General features: G+C 48.5%; 1 protein-coding gene across 3 annotated transcripts; it reads left to right on the forward strand.

Annotated features, from left to right (window-relative positions):
* MICB (MHC class I polypeptide-related sequence B) lies at positions 107-16,313 on the forward strand. Of its 3 annotated transcripts, none has more exons than NM_001289160.2 (6): positions 107-184; positions 10,806-11,060; positions 11,332-11,619; positions 12,211-12,489; positions 12,589-12,720; positions 14,971-16,313. In NM_001289160.2, exons 2-6 carry the CDS (start codon positions 10,832-10,834, stop codon positions 15,096-15,098), a joined length of 1,056 nt encoding a protein of 351 aa, NP_001276089.1. In that variant the 5' UTR covers positions 107-184; positions 10,806-10,831; the 3' UTR covers positions 15,099-16,313. The 3 variants fall into 3 exon arrangements, with proteins under 3 accessions (NP_001276089.1, NP_005922.2, NP_001276090.1); NM_005931.5 differs by lacking the exon at positions 107-184 and adding an exon at positions 3,334-3,452; NM_001289161.2 differs by lacking the exon at positions 107-184 and adding an exon at positions 3,334-3,452 and having other exon boundaries at positions 11,461-11,619.

Below are 20,101 nucleotides of genomic sequence, written 5' to 3' on the forward strand. Positions count from 1 at the left end.
GAGCGAAACTCCGTTTCAAAAAAAAACAAAAAACAAAAAGCTTTCGGGCGCCGAGGGCAGCCCCGCCCTGAATTTTGTGAGCGACCGCGCTGGGCCGTTTCTCTTTCTTTTCCGGACCCTGCAGTGGCGCCTAAAGTCTGCGAGGAGGAAGTCGCCTCTGTGCTCGTGAGTCCAGGGATCTAAGGCAAGTGCTGAGGGAGAAAACATAGTTGATGGGGCAGAGCAGAGGGGGCTGGAGGTGGGGTGGAGGGGGAGGGCTTTGAACAGAAGACCTGGGAGGCTTGGTGGGGGAGGGGACCCAGGCCTCGGCGCTGAGAAGCAACTCCCCTGGAGCTCAAGACCTTCTTGGCCTCCCCTAGCCCAGGGGAGGACTGGCTTCATGTCTCCCTGAAACCGCTTCTAAATGCCTTAGAACAAACCTTAAATATTCATTATTATTATTGAACTATTAAAAGTCTTTTTTGGAGGCGAGCTGAATGAGACCCTTTGCTGGAGCTGGCACACGGAGGAAGTCCTGGAGGGAGGGTAGACACCGTGGAGGGAAGGGCTTGGGACCTGTGTCAGGAGAGCTGGGTCCATCTGCCTCTCTGTCTCAAACTATGCTTATGATCTTTAGCAGTGAAAATAATCTCTCTAAGGTGGGGACAGGACCCCAGTCCCTGCTGTGCTTAATAAATTATGAGGATCAAAATAAATTATCAGTGAATGTGTATGGGAAGACTAAGAAATTGTTAAAATTCTCGAATACATTACATTTTCATCCACAGAAAAGTGTAGGCTAGGGATGATAGGGGAATAGTTAGTAATGACAGGGATAGTTGAACTTAAAAAAAAAGGTTGTGAGGCCAACAAAAAAGAAATGGACACAGTTCCTGATCCTGGAGGGTTCATAGTCTAATGGGGGAGGAGGGTAGAAGATGGTAGGTGATGGCTGGGTGTGTGGCACTCGCCTGTAGTCCCAGCTACTCAAGAGGCTGTGGTGGGAGGATTGCTTGAGCCCAGGCATTTGAGGCTGCAGTGAGCTATAATCACACCACTGCATTCCAACTGAGTGACACAGCAAGACTCCTCTCTTAAAAAAATAAAATAAAGTAAATGAAAAAAATAAGATTCAAGACAGGGCACAGTCGGTACCATCAGGAAGGTTCAAACCATGGGCTAGATCAGTAGTTCTAAAACTTGACTACACATCGGAATCACGTAGGGAACTTTAAAAGATACTAAGGTTTAGGTCCAACCTAGGTTTACTGATTTAACTGGTTGTGGCTGTGGCCTGGGAACATGGATATTAAAAACTCTCCAGGTGGTTCTACGCAGTGGCTAGGTTTGAAGACCACTGCCTAGATGTCCCAATGACTAAGAATGTGCGCTGGGGACAAGCCAATTCTCTTAGTAGAGGCTTTCCAGACAGAATTCTTATTATTGAGAATTGAGAATTCACATGCCACACATAATTTATCGTTTTAAAGTGTACAGATCAGTGGCTTCTAGCATAATCACAAGGTTGTGCCACCGTCACCACTATCTACTTGGGAAGATTTTCTTCCTTTTTTTCTTTTTTTTTTTTTTTTTTGAGGCGGAGCCTTGCTCTGTTGCCCAGGCTGGAGTGCAGTGGCGCAATCTCAGCTCACTGCAAGCTCCGCCTCCCGGGTTGACCCCATTCTCCTGCCTCAGCCTTCTGAGCAGCTGGGACTACAGGTACCCGCCACCACGCCCAGCTAAGTTTTTTGTATTTTTAGTAGAGACGGGGTTTCACTGTGTTAGCAGGATGCTCTCGATCTCCTGACCTCGTGATCTGCCCACCTCGACCTCCCAAAGTGCTGGGATTACAGGCGTGAGCCACCGTGCCCGGACCCTTTTTCCTTTTTTTTTTTTTTTAAAGGCTAGTCAAGTGAAACAGTGGGAGTGAAGATGAAACAAAAACATCTATAACTGGTTGTGATCAATTAGTTGTAAACACCACTGCACTCAGACCAGCCTAACTGGGAAGATTTTGAGGATATGCTGTGGTCTGATGGGTTCCAAGGCAGAGGTGACAGTAACCTGGAAGAGGGAGACTGCTTAGGCAGTGGCATCCTGGTGGGATAGGGTGAGGAGATCCCAGAGCCCACGTTTACTGCAACCCTGGGGAAATGTCACCAGAGAAATGGGGGTGGTGCCAGACAATAGATTGTGGGAGCTATGGTTTCCATGGTAGAGTAGAAGCATCCACCATGTGTGACATTCAGCAGATGGGGCGCTGTGGGTGGCTTGGAGCACTCTGGTTGTAACTGAGGCAGGCACAGTGTTTAGGAAGCCTGTGCAGTAATCCAGACTGAAGGGAGGGGAAAGCCTAGACTAAGACTATGGCTGTGGGATTGAAATAGCGTTGAAGGAGCTGACTTTGACTCCCGGAGATGAAGGAGAAAGAGGAAATCAGAAGGGACCAAGGATGGTGAAGTTCTTAAGAGAAACTGAGGAGGAAGAGAGGATGATGTGGTGGGAGACGTGTAGAGAGTCCTTGTAGATCTGTCATATTGAAGGGGACTATGGTCCCAGAGGTACAGATGTCCTAAAACAGGCTGGAAAAGGGAGTCTGGAGAGAGCTTGGTGTTGTAATGAACCATGGGGAGCCGCCTCGTTGGCCCTGTGATTACCCAGGAACTGAATAGAGAGGGGGCCCTGGGAGACCTCAGACACTTAGAGGATATAAGGGGGTGAAAGGGGGGACCTGGCTTTGAGTCGAAGGGAGGAGAAGGAGATTATATAGCTGAAACGTCTAAGAGAATTTGTGATCTGAGCGTTTCTACTGGGGCAAGTGCTTCTGAAAGGCAGAGGCGGCTGAGATCTGGAAACAGGTCTGCAAATCTGGTCACTGGTCTCATTGCAGTAACGCTGTGCGCGGTTGAGGGAGTGTATTGGGAGAAAAACCACGCGTTGTCTGTCCCGGAAGGAACAAGCCAGTGAGAGCCGGCCTGATGGGAGGACCGGCGAAAGGGGCTTGGTGAAGCCCGCGCTCCTTGGGGGTGGGAATGCGGGGATGGGGTGGTCGCGATGCAGGGAGGGCGACAGGGTCCAGGTCGTGCTCATAAGTTTGGAGCTGTACTCTCAGCTACTCGGGGCTGGTCCTTGATTTTGGCTGCGCTCGCGCACGCTCCCCCTTTTCTGGCCGCCAGGTCCCGCCTTCTAAATTTCCCCAGGTCTCCAGGCCGCTAGAATTTTCTCTTCTGAACGTGGCCCCGCCCTCTCCACTCATGATTGGCCCTAAGTTCCGGGCCTCAGTTTTCACTGGATAAGCGGTCGCTGAGCGGGGCGCAGGTGACTAAATTTCGACGGGGTCTTCTCACGGGTTTCATTCAGTTGGCCACTGCTGAGCAGCTGAGAAGGTGGCGACGTAGGGGCCATGGGGCTGGGCCGGGTCCTGCTGTTTCTGGCCGTCGCCTTCCCTTTTGCACCCCCGGCAGCCGCCGCTGGTGAGTGGGGTTCCTGGCGGTCCCCGGCGGAGCGGGAGCGGCGGGGCGTTTCCGGGGGTCCGGGTGGGTTGCCGCGAGCGCTGTGCGGTCAGGGCGGGGCTCAGGTGTGCTGTCTGGAGTGCAGGGAGCTGGACGCCGCCTGTTCCCGCCACACCTCAGCCCTGCTTTCCCATCTCCCGTCTCTTTTTTTTTTTTTTTTTTTTTTTTTTTTTTTTTTTTTCTTTCTGAGACGGAGTCTCTGTCGCCTAGGCTGTAGTGCAGTGGCGCGATCTTGGCTCACTGCAAGCGCCGCCTCCCGGGTTCACGCCATTCTCCTGCCTCAGCCTCCCTAGTAGCTGGGACTACAGGCGCCCGCCACCACGCCCGGCTAATTTTTTGTGTTTTTAGTAGAGATGGGGTTTCACCGTGTTAGTCAGGATGGTCTCGATCTCCTGACCTCGTGATCCGCCCGCCTCGGCCTCCCAAAGTGCTGGGATTACAGGCGTGAGCCACCGCGCCCGACCTCCTGTCTCCTTTCAGTCCTCCTCGGGATCGCGCATCACCCGCATTTTCTGGTCTCTCCTGCACTTGCTCTCCTCGCCTCTCCTCCGTCTCCTCTCACTTTTCGGACAAACCAGTCCTTCTGAGGCCCCTGGGTTCCCGGGCTGCTCCTGTGAATGGCATTGGAAGGCCGTTCCAGCGCGGCCGCTGAGGCAGCCACTTCCCCCGGTGCTGGGGGCGGATCTCAGGTCCCTGAAGTCCTGTCCTCTCCCGGAGCCGATGTGTTCTCAGCTCCTGGGCCGCAGCTCCTGGAGTTGGGGCCCTCCTTTCTTGGGACCCGGAGGTGGTGCTTCTTGCTGCTGTGGGGACTGTGGGGGGTCCTGACTCTCAAGCTGAGGGGTTGGAGTCTGCAGGCTCCGGGCAGAGGATTCTTCCTGCGACTTCTGTCATCCCCAGCTCATTCTCCCCTCGCCTCCGGCTCCGGGGGTCCTCTCCTCTCTCGCATCCCACCCCTACTAATGACCAATGATCTAAGGACACCAGATTCCCTCTCACCTCCTCCCTGCCCATCTTACGGCGCCCTGGGTCCTGTTGCTCTCCCAGCTCCCTGCTACCCCTTCCTGTGTGCTGTTCTCTGATCCATTTCTAGGGTGTCCTCTGCCTTCATCCCCCGCCCCCGCCACTGAAGGTCCCTCCTGCCTCCTTTATGGGCCTTTCCTGCAAGCAGCCTTCACTCCGTGCTGCCCCTATGCCTCCCCATTCCCAAATGTCCCTGACTCTAACTTTCTGGTGCTGCCTTTTGTCCGGGGGGGTCTTCCCTCCATCCCACTCCCCTCCAGACCCCCAAGGAGAGCCCTGATGCTAATGGCAGTTGGGCCTTAGGCAGGGCGCAGGGCAGCGCAGATGCCCCCTCCCCTCCAGTGCAGGTGCCTGCTCTGGGCCCTGCCTCATTGTGGCCCCTTCCCCACTCCTTCATCCTCAGCCTCACCCTCTTGAGGACCCCACCCTCCAGCCCACAGGTGCTGGACCATCCCTCCCTGGTCCCTCCGCCCCTCTCCACCTTGGGACCTTGTGCTGCTCCTATCTCTTGCCCAGCTGCCTGGGGCCCTCAGCAAGTTCTCATCTTTCAGTGGGAAAGTGGGAGTGCTGGAGCATATGACAGTGCTGAGAATCTTTCCCAAGCCCCACCCTCCCCCAGAGCACCCTCCCCTCCTGTCCTCACCCTACCCCAAGTTCTCCCACAGTCACTCCTGCCCCATGCTCATGCCGCCCTCCAGTTCTTGCTCTGCCCATCTCCCCTCCCCAACCCAGACCTAAAACAGGCTGTTGGGCCAGCTGTTCCTTGACCTTCCTTCTTTTCTTTTGGTTCCTTGACCCCAGTGGGCTCTCACTCCCCACACCGCATATCTAAAATCTGTTTTGCCTGCTCTTGGGGTGCCACTGCTCCCCCTCCAGCATTACTCCTTTTGGCAGGTCCTTCCTCAGGCTGAGAATCTCCCCCTCTACCTTGGTTTTCTCTCTCTGGCCAGCACCCCCACCCCTTGCTTTGTTTTTAATTTTTAACTTTTGTTTGGGTACGTAGTAGATATGTATGTATATATTTATGGGGTACATGGGATATTTTGACACAGGCCTACAATATGTCATAATCACATCAGGGTAAATGGGTTATCTATCACAACAAGCATTTATCCTTTCTTTGTGCTACAAACAATCCCATTATGCTCTTTCAGTTATTTTTAAATGTACAATAAATTATTGTTGGCTGTACTCACCCTGCTGTGCTATCTACTAGATCTTATTCATTCTAACTATATTTTTGTACCCATTAACCATCCGCACTCCCCCACTCCCCACTACCCTTCTCAGCCTCTGGTAGTCGTCATTCTATTGTCTCTCCCCATGAGGTCCATTGTTTTAATTTTTGGCTGCCACAAATAAGTGAGAACATGCGAAGTTTGTCTCTCTGGGCCTGGGGCTTATTTCACTTCACATGATGACCTCCAGTTCTTTGCAAATGACATGATGGCTGAATAGTACTCCACATACACGTGTGCACCACATTTTCTTTCTCCATTCGTCTGTTGATGGACACTTAGGTCGCTTGCAGATCTTGGCTATTTTGAATAGTGCTGCAATAAACATGGAAAAGTAGATAGCTCTTTAATATACCGATTTCCTTTCTTTTGGGTATATGCCTAACAGTGGGAGTGCTGGAGCATATGACAGCTCTATTATATTTTTAGTTTTTGGAAGAACCTCCACATTATTTCCCACAGTGGTTATACTAGTTTACGTTCCCACCAACAGTGTACAAGGGTTCTCTTTTGCTACATCCTCGCCAGGATTCCTTATTGCCTGTCTTCTGGATAAAAGCCAGTTTATCTGGGGTGGGATGATATCTCGTAGGAGTTTTGATTTGCCTTCATCTGATGACGAATGATGTTGAGCACCTTTTGATATACCTGTTTGCCATTTGTATGTCTTCTTTTGAGAAATGACTATTCAGATCTTTTGCTCATTTTTAAGTTGGATTATTAGATATTTTTCCTATAGAGTTGTTTGAGATCCTTATATGTTTTGGTTACTAATCCTTTGTCAGATGAATAGTTTGAAAATATTTTCTCCCATTCTTGGATGGTCTCTTCACTTTGTTTATTGTTTCCTTTGCTGTGCAGAAGCTTTTTAACTTGATATGATCCCATTTATGCATTTTTACTTTGGTTGCCTCTGCTTGTGGGGTATTACTTAAAAAATCTTTGCCAGTCCAATATCTTAGAGAGTTTCCCCAATGTTTTCTTTCATAGTTTTCATAGTTTGAGGTCATAGATTTACATCTTTAATCCTTTTTGATTGGATTTTTATATGTGGTGAGAGATAGGGTCCAGTTTCATTCTTCTGCATAAGGATATCTAGTTTCCCCAGCACCATTTATTGAAGAGACTCTCCTTTGCCCTGTATGTGTTCTTGGTAACTTTGTTAGAAATAACTTCACTGTAGATATATGGATTTGTTTCTGGGTTCTCTATTCTGTTTCATTGGTCCGTGTGTCTGTTTTTATGCCACTACCGTGCTGTTTTGATTACTCTAGCTCTGTAGTATAATTTGAAGTCAGATAATGTGATTCCGCTAGTTTTGTTCTTTTTGCTCAGGGTAGCTTTATCTATTCTGGGTTTTTTGTGATTCCATATACATTTTAGGATTGTTTTTCTATTTCTGTGAAGAATGTCATTGGTGTTTTGATAGCAATTGCATTGAATTTGTAGATTGCTTTGGGTAGGATGGATATTTTAACAAAATTGATTCTTCCGGCTGGGCACGGTGGCTCACTCCTGTAATCCCAGCACTTTGGGAGGCCGAGTCAGGTGGATCACTTGAGATCAGGAGTTCAAGACCAGCCTGATCAACATGGGGAAACCCCGCCTCTACTAAAAATACAAAATTAGCCAGGCGTGGTGGCATATGCCTGTAATCCCAGCTACTCAGGAAAGCTGAGGCAGGAGAATCGCTTGAACCCAGGAGGCAGAGGTTGTGGTGAGCTGAGATTGCACCATTGCACTCCAGCCTGGGCAACAGGAGCAAAACTCCATCTCAGAAAATAAAAATAAACATTGATTCTTCCAGTCCGTGAACATGGAATGCCTTTTCCATTTTTTGTGTCCTCTTCAATGTTTTGCATCAGTGCTTTATAGTTTTTATTGGAGAGATCTTTCACTTCTTCAGTTAAGTCTATTCCTAGGTATTTTATTTTATTTGTAGCTAATGAAAATGGGATTCGTTTCTTGATTTCTTTTTCAGATTATTTGCTGTTAGCACATAGAAGTGCTATTGTTTTTTGCATGTTGATTTTGTATCCTGCAACTTTACTGAATTTGTTCTTCAGTTCTAATAGTTTTTTGGTGGAGTCTTTAGGTTTTCCAAATATCAGACCACATGATGTGCAAACAAGGATAATTTGACTTCTTCTTTTCCAATTTTGATGCCCTTTATTTCCTTCTCCTGTCAGATTGCTCTAGCTAGGACTTGCAGTATTGTGTTGCATAACTGTAGTGAAAGTAGTCATCCTTGTCTTGTTCCAGATCTTAAAGAAAAGGCTTTCAGTTTTCCCCCATTCAGTATGTTACTAGCTGTGAGTTGTCATATATGGCTTTTGTTATATTGAGGTCTGTTCCTTGTATACTCAGTTTTTTTAGAGTTTTTATCATGAAGGGATGTTAAACTTATCAAATGCTTTTTCAGTATCAATTGAAATGGTGATATGGCTTTTGTCCTTTATTCTGTTGATACGATGTATTACATTGATTGATTTGTGTATGCATACCTGGAATACATTCCACTTGGTCATGAAGAATGATCTTTTTAATATACTGTTGAATGTGGTTTGCTAGTATTTCATTGATGATATTTGCCTCAATGTTCATCAGGGATATAGGCCTGTAGTTTTCTTTTTTTGATGTGTCTTTGCCTGATTTTGATATCAGGATATTCCTGGCTTTGTAAAATGAGTTTGGAAGTATTCCCTCCTCCTCTGTTTTTCAGAACAATTTGAATAGGACTGATATTTCTTGTTCTTTAAACGTTTAATTGTGGTAAATTATACATTACATACATTTTACTGTTTTAACCGCTTTTAAGTGTATACTCGGTGGCATTAGATACATTCACATTTTTGTGCAACCCAAAACTCTGTACCCATTAATCAGTAACTCCCCATTCCTCCCTACCTCTGGCCCCTGGTAACCATCATTCTACTTTTTGTTTCTATGAATTTGACCACTCTAGGTACCTCATTTAAGTAGAATCGTGTAATGTTTGTCTTTTTGATTCTGGCTTATTTCACTTATAATATTTCGAGGTTCATCCAGGTTGTAGTATGGGTCAGATTTTCATTCCTTTTAATGATGAATAATACTCATTATATGTATGTACCACATCTTGGTTATCCATTCCTCAGACAATGGACACTTGGGTTACTTCTACCTTTTGGATATTGGCAAATATTTCATTTCTCTTGGGTATATATTTATTTCTTTTGAGTATTTCTTTTGGGTATATATCCAGAAATAGAATTGTTGGATCATACGGTATTTCATTTTTTAATTTTTAGAGGAATCACCATAGTGTTTTCCATTGCAGGCGTGCCATTTTGTATTTCTAGAAGCAGTATACAGGGGCTTCAGTTTCTCTACCTCCTTGCCAAACTTGCTGTGTGTGTGTGTGTGTGTGTGTGTGTGTGTGTGTGTGATAATAGCCACCCTGATTGGTTTGAAGTGGTATCTCATTGTGGTTTGGATTTGCATTTTCCTAATGAGTACTGATATTGAGCATCTTTTCATGTGTTTATTGATCATTTGTATATTTTCTTTGAAGAATTGGCCATTGAAGTCTTGCCCATTTTTCTCCCCCACATAGCTTCTCATGGCTATTTTGCCCATTTTTGAGTGGGTTGACTGTTTTGTTGTTTTTGTCAAACTTTTTTGCATATTCTGGAAACTAATCTCTCTCTTTTTCTTTTTTTTTTTTTTTTTTTTTTTGAGATGGAGTCTTGCTCTGTTGCCCAGGCTGGAGTGCAGTGGCACGATCTCAGCTCACTGCAAGCTCCGCCCGCTAGCTTCATGCCATTCTCCCGCCTCAGCCTCCCGAGTAGCTGGGACTACAGGCGCCCGCCACCACACCCGGCTAATTTTTTGTATTTTTAGTAGAGATAGGGTTTCACCATGTTAGCCAGGATGGTCTCAATCTCCTGACCTGGTGATACACCCGCCTCGGCCTCCCAAAGTGCTGGAACTACAGGCTTGAGCCACCACGCCTGGCCTTCTGGAAACTAATCTCTTATCAGATATATGACTTGCAATATTTATTTCATTTCAGGGGTTGATTGCTTTCTCACTCTGATTGTGCCCTTTGATGCACAGATATTTTGAATTTTTCATGAGTCCAGTTTGTCAGTTCTTTCTATTCTATCTGTGCTTTGGCGTCATATCCATGAAAGCACTGTCAAACCCTATGTCATGAACATTATACCCAATGTTTTTTTCTAAGATATTTTTATGTTTTAGTTCTTGAGTTTAGAGTTTAGGTCTTTGATTCATTTTGAGTTAATTTTTGTATATAGTACAAATTAAGGGTCCAATTTTATATTATTTGAACATCCAGTTCCCCCAGCACTATTTGCTGAAAAGATGGACTTACTCTTTGAGACCCTGTCACCTGCCCACCCCAGTGGACACTAGCTGGTCCATCCAATTGCTGTCCTGGGGCCTTGTCATGCTACTCTTCCACTTTGGACCCAAGCCCACATCATTGCTCCCCTCTGGGATACTGACCCCACTATAAACTTCACTGGGGCTACAACCTTCCTACCCCTTGTGCCTCATGACCACCCCCTCCCTTGTCCCCACCATGCCCATGATGAGTCTTTTCTCAAGGCAGCTCGCCTTGCCTCCATCTCACCCTCACCTGTGCACCACAGCCACACTGGACATGGGTCCCTCTGAGCCTGAGTCCCTTCCCATTCCCACTGTCCCCTCTGGCAAGACCTTCCTTCCAACACTGCCTTCATGCTCCTCCCTTGCCCCTGCAGGGCAGCCTCTCCCCTTGGCCCCTATTCCCTTAGGGGGCTTGTGGCCACCCAGTCCTGGCACCTGACCTACAAGTTTGCCATCTTCATTCCCCCTTCTTCTGTTCATCAGCCCCCTCCTCTATCCTCCCACCCTCACAGTTTTCCTTGTATATGAAATCTTCGTTCTTGTCCTTTTGCCCATGCGCATTTCCTGCCTCCTCAGGGAGGTCGGGACAGCAGACCTGTGTGTTAAACATCAATGTGAAGTTATTTCCAGGAAGAAGTTTCACCTGTGATTTCCTCTTCCCCAGAGCCCCACAGTCTTCGTTACAACCTCATGGTGCTGTCCCAGGATGGATCTGTGCAGTCAGGGTTTCTCGCTGAGGGACATCTGGATGGTCAGCCCTTCCTGCGCTATGACAGGCAGAAACGCAGGGCAAAGCCCCAGGGACAGTGGGCAGAAAATGTCCTGGGAGCTAAGACCTGGGACACAGAGACCGAGGACTTGACAGAGAATGGGCAAGACCTCAGGAGGACCCTGACTCATATCAAGGACCAGAAAGGAGGTGAGAGTCGGCAGGGGCAAGAGTAATGGGAGGCCTTCTCCAGGAAAGTTGGAGACAGAGAGCAGGGACCTGTCTCTTCCCGCTGGATCTGGCTGGGGGTGGGGATGAGGAATAGGGTCAGGGAGGCTCAGCAGGGTGGTGAGCCGGAACTCAGCCCACACAGGGAGGCATGGAGGAGGGCCAGGGAGGGGTCGCTGCTGGGCTGAGTTCCTCACTTGGGTGGAAAGGTGATGGGTTCGGGAATGGAGAAGTCACTGCTGGGTGGGGGCAGGCTTGCATTCCCTCCAGGAGATTAGGGTCTGTGAGATCCATGAAGACAGCAGCACCAGGGGCTCCCGGCATTTCTACTACGATGGGGAGCTCTTCCTCTCCCAAAACCTGGAGACTCAAGAATCGACAGTGCCCCAGTCCTCCAGAGCTCAGACCTTGGCTATGAACGTCACAAATTTCTGGAAGGAAGATGCCATGAAGACCAAGACACACTATCGCGCTATGCAGGCAGACTGCCTGCAGAAACTACAGCGATATCTGAAATCCGGGGTGGCCATCAGGAGAACAGGTACCGACCCTGGCCAGGGGCTCTACTGTTCCCGCAATTCTGCTAGAGTTGCCTCGCCTCCCAGCTCTGTCCGGGGAAACCCTCCCTGTGCTATGGATGCAGGCGTTTCCTGTTGGCATATTGTGTCCTGATTTGCCTCTCCTGTTAGAGCCATTGGATAAAGACAGTGGGTCTGGGACTGAACTGTCCAGTGTTGTAATCTGGGAAAGCAGTGGGCCCTCTGACAGAAGCCTGAGCCTGGTGTGGGAGTTAGGCAGGAGAGGAAGCCCTCAGGGCCAGGGCTGCCCCCTCTGCCTCCCGGCCTGCCCATCCCGGAGAGTTCCCTCCTGGCCCCATGACCCAGGAGTCCACCCTTGACATCCCCCTCCTCAGCATCAATGTGGGGATCCCAGAGCCTGAGGCCACAGTCCCAAGGCCCATCCTCCTGCTAGCCTGGAGGAATTAGGCCCCAGGGTGAGGACAGACTTACAGAAGGTCCGGTATCTGTGAGGGATTCAGCCAGAGTGAGAACAGTGGAGAGGAGCAGCCCTGTTCCCTGCATCTCCCTTAGAGGGGAGCAGGGCTTCACTGGCTCTGCCCTTTCTTCTCCAGTGCCCCCCATGGTGAATGTCACCTGCAGCGAGGTCTCAGAGGGCAACATCACCGTGACATGCAGGGCTTCCAGCTTCTATCCCCGGAATATCACACTGACCTGGCGTCAGGATGGGGTATCTTTGAGCCACAACACCCAGCAGTGGGGGGATGTCCTGCCTGATGGGAATGGAACCTACCAGACCTGGGTGGCCACCAGGATTCGCCAAGGAGAGGAGCAGAGGTTCACCTGCTACATGGAACACAGCGGGAATCACGGCACTCACCCTGTGCCCTCTGGTGAGCCTGGGGTGACCCTGGAGAGGGTCAGGCCAGGGTAGGAACAGCAAGGACGGCTGTGGCTCTCTGCCCAGTGTATAACAAGTCCCTTTTTTTCAGGGAAGGCGCTGGTGCTTCAGAGTCAACGGACAGACTTTCCATATGTTTCTGCTGCTATGCCATGTTTTGTTATTATTATTATTCTCTGTGTCCCTTGTTGCAAGAAGAAAACATCAGCGGCAGAGGGTCCAGGTGAGAAAAGGGGACAGTTTCTGGAGATGGGAAAGCTCCTTTCTAGGCAGTAGGGTCTCCTCATTGCTCCTGCCCAGACAAGACGTAGGTGACAAGGCTGCTGGGACAGGGGATGGAAGCTGGGGTATTTGGGAGGGGAATGGGAGCTGCATCTCCATCTACACCCATAAGTGCTTCCCAAGCCAGGGCTGGGGCAAGGCCTTCGAATATCCAGCTGTGGCCTCCTCCTGCTGCAAGTGAGGAGTGGGCAGCAGGGAGGGCTGTGGCACCTGCTCTGTCCCCATCCCAGCCTCTCTGTCTCTCGGGCTCACTAGGGTGCGTCCAGGTGGGGTGAGTTGGGAATCACGTGCTGATTGCTGAGGGCCTGGATGATCATGGTGTCAGAGGGAGGAAATAGTAAAGGTGGCTGTGATCTGGGGAGGGCCAGAAACTGGAGAGGAATCCAAGGAGAGGCGATGCCCACCCGTGTGCCTCCTCCAGGAGGCACTTTCCAGGTTCCCACTACCTGGCCTCCCTGAGTTTCCTTGCAGATGACACAGATGAATAGATAAGCAGATGTCCCTGGGCCATTTGAGGAGCGGGGCCCAGCCCCTCATCAGGGCAGATGTGGTCCCTGTTTTCATCCTACCTCCAGCGTGTTTTCTTCTGCAGTCCCTGAGGGACACAGTCCCCAGGCGCCATCTCTTTGAGGCTTTGTTCTGTGCTCTGTGGCCTTACCTTGCCCTCCCTGAGCCAATTTCCCTTTCTCAAGGTGGTCACTGCCTGGTAAGTTTGGAGTAAGGGACAGTCAGAAGCATTTCCCCCACAGTCAGGTTGTTTGATGGGAGATGAAAAGAGACAGCAGAAGTTTTGTGTTTCTGCAAAAACAGAGGCAGTGCAGGGGACAGTGAGAGGCTGGGGTGTCCAGGAGACCTGAGTCTGGCGGTAGGGGCGCTGGTTTCTCATCCTTGAACCTAGTTGCACTGTCAGTCGGCCCCTCATGCCTGAGCAGATGGGAAGGTTCGTCCCCTGCCCTGCAGCAAGAGGGCCCCATCCAGGAGGCACCCACAGCAGGGGCAGTGCAGGTCTGTGGTCACTCCTGCTCTCACCTGCGGCGTCTCCCGTGGAGGGATTGTCACTTCTGGTTCCCTGTGGGCAGGAATGGTTTCCTCGTAGGTCACTGGGGTTTTGGCCAGGAAAAGGGTATGAAATTCATGTGCCAGTTTCTCAAAATTCCTGCTTTCAATGTTGATGTCCAATAAAGATGTTCGTAATTTCAGCTCTATAATCTTAATAGGATTTCCTCTAATACTGCTGTTGTAAAGCATATTAAATAAAACAGGAACTCAAATTTGGAGCCCCCTCTCCAGAAGGGTCTGTGTGGAGATGGTGGCTGTGGCAGCGGCAGTTCCCAGGTGCAGAGGGTGGGCAGAGGCAGCCTCAGGCTAAGGGGTCTCCCCTACTCCACGTGGAGAAAAGTCCTTGTAGGTTGCAAGGGCAGTGGCCTGGGTGGAATCCCTGCTAGGGACAGAGCAGGAAGGCCTCACAGCCTCACCAAGCAGCAGCCCTGGGGTGAAGTAAGTGGACCAGGAGTAAGTGGACCAGGCAGGAGCAGTAGTGACTCAACAGCAGGTCACAGGCCTAGGTGGGTGCTGAAGGTCATGGGAGGCCAGGCCTCCTCGAGCAAGGTGGGGGGTCCCAGGGTCAGGTCAGGTGCAGATCCTGTGGCAGCCACGTCTTTCCATGCTGGGCCTGCTGGGCCCCCCAGGCTTCCTGATGGGGTCCCCAGTTAGGAGCTGCCTGCTCAGGGCTGGGAGGGGAGGAGTGCTGAGCTGCAGATAGAGGGCAGGGCCCACAGTGGGCAGGGCCTGCCCTGGTGTGCAGGTGCCTCTGCAGGAGAGAAGGGCCTGGGGACTGAGAGCAAGGGTCAGGGCCTCTCTTTGGGGAGGCCTCTCACTGTAACAGGACTGGTCAGGCCTGAGAGGAGGGCACTGGGTTCCCTCTTGGGTCTTGTCCTTTTGTCTTGGGGCCCTTTCACTCCCTGCACGGTGAGTGGTGGGCACAGGACAGGGGCTGATGTTGATGGAGTGATGGGAGAGAACTGACAGGGGCTGGGAAAAGCAAGGAGGGAGGAAGAAAAAAGTGGGGGCCTCATCTTCTCTCAGAGAAAGGGCGAATCTGATTTTGGGGCAACTGAAGAGAGAAAAGTCCTTAGGGAATAAACACAACACTGCACCCAGTGGAGCATTTACCCGTTTCCCTCTTCTCCAGAGCTTGTGAGCCTGCAGGTCCTGGATCAACACCCAGTTGGGACAGGAGACCACAGGGATGCAGCACAGCTGGGATTTCAGCCTCTGATGTCAGCTACTGGGTCCACTGGTTCCACTGAGGGCACCTAGACTCTACAGCCAGGCGGCCAGGATTCAACTCCCTGCCTGGATCTCACCAGCACTTTCCCTCTGTTTCCTGACCTATGAAACAGAGAAAATAACATCACTTATTTATTGTTGTTGGATGCTGCAAAGTGTTAGTAGGTATGAGGTGTTTGCTGCTCTGCCACGTAGAGAGCCAGCAAAGGGATCATGACCAACTCAACATTCCATTGGAGGCTATATGATCAAACAGCAAATTGTTTATCATGAATGCAGGATGTGGGCAAACTCACGACTGCTCCTGCCAACAGAAGGTTTGCTGAGGGCATTCACTCCATGGTGCTCATTGGAGTTATCTACTGGGTCATCTAGAGCCTATTGTTTGAGGAATGCAGTCTTACAAGCCTACTCTGGACCCAGCAGCTGACTCCTTCTTCCACCCCTCTTCTTGCTATCTCCTATACCAATAAATACGAAGGGCTGTGGAAGATCAGAGCCCTTGTTCACGAGAAGCAAGAAGCCCCCTGACCCCTTGTTCCAAATATACTCTTTTGTCTTTCTCTTTATTCCCACGTTCGCCCTTTGTTCAGTCCAATACAGGGTTGTGGGGCCCTTAACAGTGCCATATTAATTGGTATCATTATTTCTGTTGTTTTTGTTTTTGTTTTTGTTTTTGTTTTTGAGACAGAGTCTCACTCTGTCACCCAGGCTGCAGTTCACTGGTGTGATCTCAGCTCACTGCAACCTCTGCCTCCCAGGTTCAAGCACTTCTCGTACCTCAGACTCCCGAATAGCTGGGATTACAGACAGGCACCACCACACCCAGCTAATTTTTGTATTTTTTGTAGAGACGGGGTTTCGCCAAGTTGACCAGCCCAGTTTCAAACTCCTGACCTCAGGTGATCTGCCTGCCTTGGCATCCCAAAGTGCTGGGATTACAAGAATGAGCCACCGTGCCTGGCCTATTTTATTATATTGTAATATATTTTATTATATTAGCCACCATGCCTGTCCTATTTTCTTATGTTTTAATATATTTTAATATATTACATGTGCAGTAATTAGATTATCATGGGTGAACTTTATGAGTGAGTATCTTGGTGATGACTCCTCCTGACCAGCCCAGGACCAGCTTTCTTGTCACCTTGAGGTCCCCTCGCCCCGTCACACCGTTATGCATTACTCTGTGTCTACTATTATGTGTGCATAATTTATACCGTAAATGTTTACTCTTTAAATAGACATTTCTGGTCTGTGTTTTATTTCATGCGTCTGGGAGCGGATAAAGTGTGAGGTTCAGGGAGAAGGAGAGGTCTGTCTCAATGCCTTGACCCAGCATCAAAGCAATCTCCCCTCCTTGTTCCCTTTCCCTGCTAGTTCCCAATGACTGACAGATTCACAGCAGAACAGAAAGGACTGGGAAGGGATGGAGGTGGGACATCTGGCGCCAATATTCAGGGGCTGACCCTGTGAGGGAACATCTGCCCTGAAGAGTTGGAGCCTTCATGTGATGACACAGAGATCTCTGTCACTGTATTCAGGGAAAGGATCAAGCCTCACTCCCCATGCAGGGAGGAGGTTCTGGCTGTGATCCGGCCTGTGGGAGAAGTGAGGACCCGCTCCCTCTACAGTGACAGCCAAGAACCTGCAGGTGACAGAGAAGGCTTCCCCTCAACTGTCTCCTATCAGGTTCTTCCAGGCATCAAGGAATAGACCTGGGACATTGCCTCCAGTGACATGAACACACCCAGAAGTGAGGTGGCCCTGCCAGGGGGTCCTGGTGCTGCCACTTGTTTTGGGAGCTCAGTGTCTGGAGAGGGGTGTGGAGAGTAGGCTTTCTGCAAAACAGTAATCATGACCTATAAATTATTTTATTCTTCATTAGCTTTTTGCCATAAAATAAAACAGGTACCCAAAAAGAAAAACTGTCTGAAAATGTTGCCCTTTAATAATAATAATAAATAATAATAATAAAAGATAAACACTCTTTAACCACCAGAGATATAGAAGTTTGTCAGCCAGCCCAGAAACCATCATTTGCCCCAGCTCAGTGATAAAGGCTTCCCTTCCCCACATAAAATCACAGCCTGACCTTTATGATGATTGCTTCTTTGTTCTATTTTATATTTTCATCCTCTGAAATTGTAGTTTAGTTTTACCTTGGGATGTATAATTTTTGTTCTCTTTTTTCTTTTTTTTTTTAAGACGGAGTCTCACTCTGTCACCCAGGCTGGAGTGCAGTGGCATGATCTCGGCTCACTGCAAGCTCCGCCTCACGGGTTCATGCGATTCTCCTGCCTCAGCCTCCCGAGTAGCTGGGACTACAGGCGTCTGCCACCACGCCCGGCTAATTTTTTTGTATTTTTAGTAGAGACAGGGTTTCACCATGTTAGCCAGGATGGTCTCAATCTCCTGACCTCATGATCTGCCTGCCTCGGCCTCCCAAAGTGCTGGGATTACAGGCGTGAGCCACCGCACCTGGCCTGTTCTCTTTTTTTCTCTATGCTCCTCCTTGAAATTTTATTGTCTGGCTGAGTTTTCCATAGTTTGCATTTTGCTGGCTCCACCCCAAGGCATAGTTTAATATGGACCTGTTTTATCTGTACTTTCTACAAATTGGTAGTTGGCTACAGAGATTTGCTTATAGACTGACTTGATTTTCTTCTTGAATACTTCATTTATGGCACTCCATTGTATTCTTCCATCAGGAGGAAGAACTTAGTACTGGTTATTTACTTCTACTCTACTTTTAATTGCCATTGCTTTTCAATGGCTAAATCTGTTAATTCGTTATGGGTTGCAAAAGAATTATAGTCTCAGTCTCTCATTCCTTCCCCATTCACTAGCTGAATAATTTCTAAAATAAGAGATTTACCCTTGGCTGGATGCGGTGACTTACGCCTGTAATCCCAGCACTTGGGGAGGCCGAGGCTGGTGGATCACCTGAGGTCGGGAGTTCAAGACCATCCTGACCAACATGAAGAAACTGTGTCTCTACTAAAAACACAGAACTAGCCGGGAGTGGTGGCGCATGCCTGTAATCCCAGCTACTCGGGAGGCGGAAGTAGGAGAATTGCTTGAACCGGGAAGGCGGAGGTTGCAGTGAGCCGAGATGGCGCCATTGCACTCCAGCCTGGGCATCAAGAGTGAAACTCCGTCTCAAAATAAATAAATAAATAAAGTGGAGCACTTGACGGCCATGGGAGAGAATCGGCTATGACCACACACAGCAAGATGATGAGCCCAGCAAAGATGATGAGCCCAACTACATGAAAACAACTTCTAATTTCATTCAATCAGAACCAACAGAACTCATCTACAGTGTTAAAAATCAAGACAGTGGCTACTCTAGGGTGGGGGAGGCTGGTTTATGACTCAACGGTGTTTCTTGGAGGGTGAAAATGATGTTGCTTGATGAAGGTGTTGTTTATCCGAGTTTTTACTTGGGCAAAATCCACTGCCCACCTGTGATTTGTCCACCTTTCTCCATGCATGTTGTCCTTCATTCAAGTTTACATTTCTGGTGTTTTGAAACAATTCTCTCTAAGCTAATATAGAATTTCTCCTACTCCAAGTCCTTAGAAATGCTGCATTGAAAATACCAGTGAATTTTTTTTTAATTCCAGGAAATAAATGCCCATGACTCAGATATAAAAAGGAGAATCTACAAGAGCAGTAGGCTTGGGAGCTGACACCAGAACAGCTTTGGAAAGGGCTGTCGAGCCAGGAACTAGGAATCAAAACCCAAACAAGACCACAGGAGGTAGAGGGTAGAAATTATGCCCCAGTAGTGCATGAATGAATGAATCAAGGGCAGTGACTCATGGGTTGCCTGGCCAGTCTGGAACTTGGGGAAAATAAAGTTGGAAAATTGGCGGATGGAAGAGAGAAGTGTGCACTGACCACTTTCCATGGGAAGAGCATGTGAAGATAGAGGTTGCATATGGATGCCTGCCAGAGGGTCTCCAAGGGGCTGGGGCTCCCTGTAACCAGGTGAGCGAGATGGCTTGATGGATGATGCCACTCAGCCGCACAAGGCTTGCTCATGAGTCCCTGCACAAAGTGGCCGTGGTGGCTGGGATGGACACTGCATGGACAGAGCAATTGAGTCACCACTCACCAAGGCTGACCTGGCAGCTGCCACTGCTGAGGACCCAGCCTGCCAAAAGCAGCTGTTTCTTTGAACAGAGAAAAAAAACAGACAATGTTAATTAAGAGCAAGACAGTGTTATGACAGATAAATATGCCACTGCAGCTATAGTAGAGATGTAAACAATCTTGAAATTATAAAAAAAAAATGTCGATGGAAAAGACTTACTGCAAGTAAGAAGTTAAAACAGTTGTAAAAATTCTATCTCTGCCCAACTATATACAGATTGTTTCACAGGGAAGTCCTACTAAACCTTCAAAGAAGGTTATTGGACTTATTTAAAATATTCAAGAGAATGGAGCAAAATACAGAAAGCTAGGCAACTCACTTTATCAGCTATGAATAGTGTTAATTCTAAAGCCAGTTAGGGAACAAATAATAAAGAAACAAGATAGGAAAATCACTATTAGTAATTAGATGTAAAATAGATGAGAAAAATAGTAGACTGTGTCCATCAGTGTGCTATAAACAAATTAAATATCTTGACCAAGTTATGAATCCCAAGAATAAAAGAATATTTAAACTTTAAATCTTTTAATGCATTTTAACACTTAATTCAATAATTTAAAAAGAGACAATCATATTTCACTAGATGTAGAAATCACTGTAGATGAAATCTAACACTACACCTGACCTACATTTCTTCAGTTATCTCCACTTTTAAGAATTTGTGATCAGTGCAGCACTATTCACAATAGCAAAGGTAAGGAATCAACCCAGATGCCCATCAACAGTGGAATGGATAAAGAAAACTGCGGCACAGGGCCAGGCGCGGTGGCTCACGCCTGTAATCCCAGCACTTTGGGAGGGTGAGGCGGGCAGATCACGAAGTCAGGAGTTCGAGACCATCCTGGCTAACACAGTGAAACCCCGTCTCTAC

The sequence above is a fragment of the Homo sapiens genome, chromosome 6 (assembly GCF_000001405.40).
Source record: "Homo sapiens chromosome 6, GRCh38.p14 Primary Assembly".
Lineage (NCBI taxonomy): Eukaryota > Metazoa > Chordata > Mammalia > Primates > Hominidae > Homo > Homo sapiens.

Coding starts and splice junctions, on each gene's coding strand:
- MICB (NM_005931.5), top strand. CDS start 3,383: ATGGGGCTGGGCCGGGTCCTGCTGTTTCTGGCCGTCGCCTTCCCTTTT. Junction 11,620..12,210: donor GGTGGCCATCAGGAGAACAG/GTACCGACCCTG, acceptor TTTCTTCTCCAG/TGCCCCCCATGGTGAATGTC. Junction 12,490..12,588: donor CACTCACCCTGTGCCCTCTG/GTGAGCCTGGGG, acceptor CCTTTTTTTCAG/GGAAGGCGCTGGTGCTTCAG.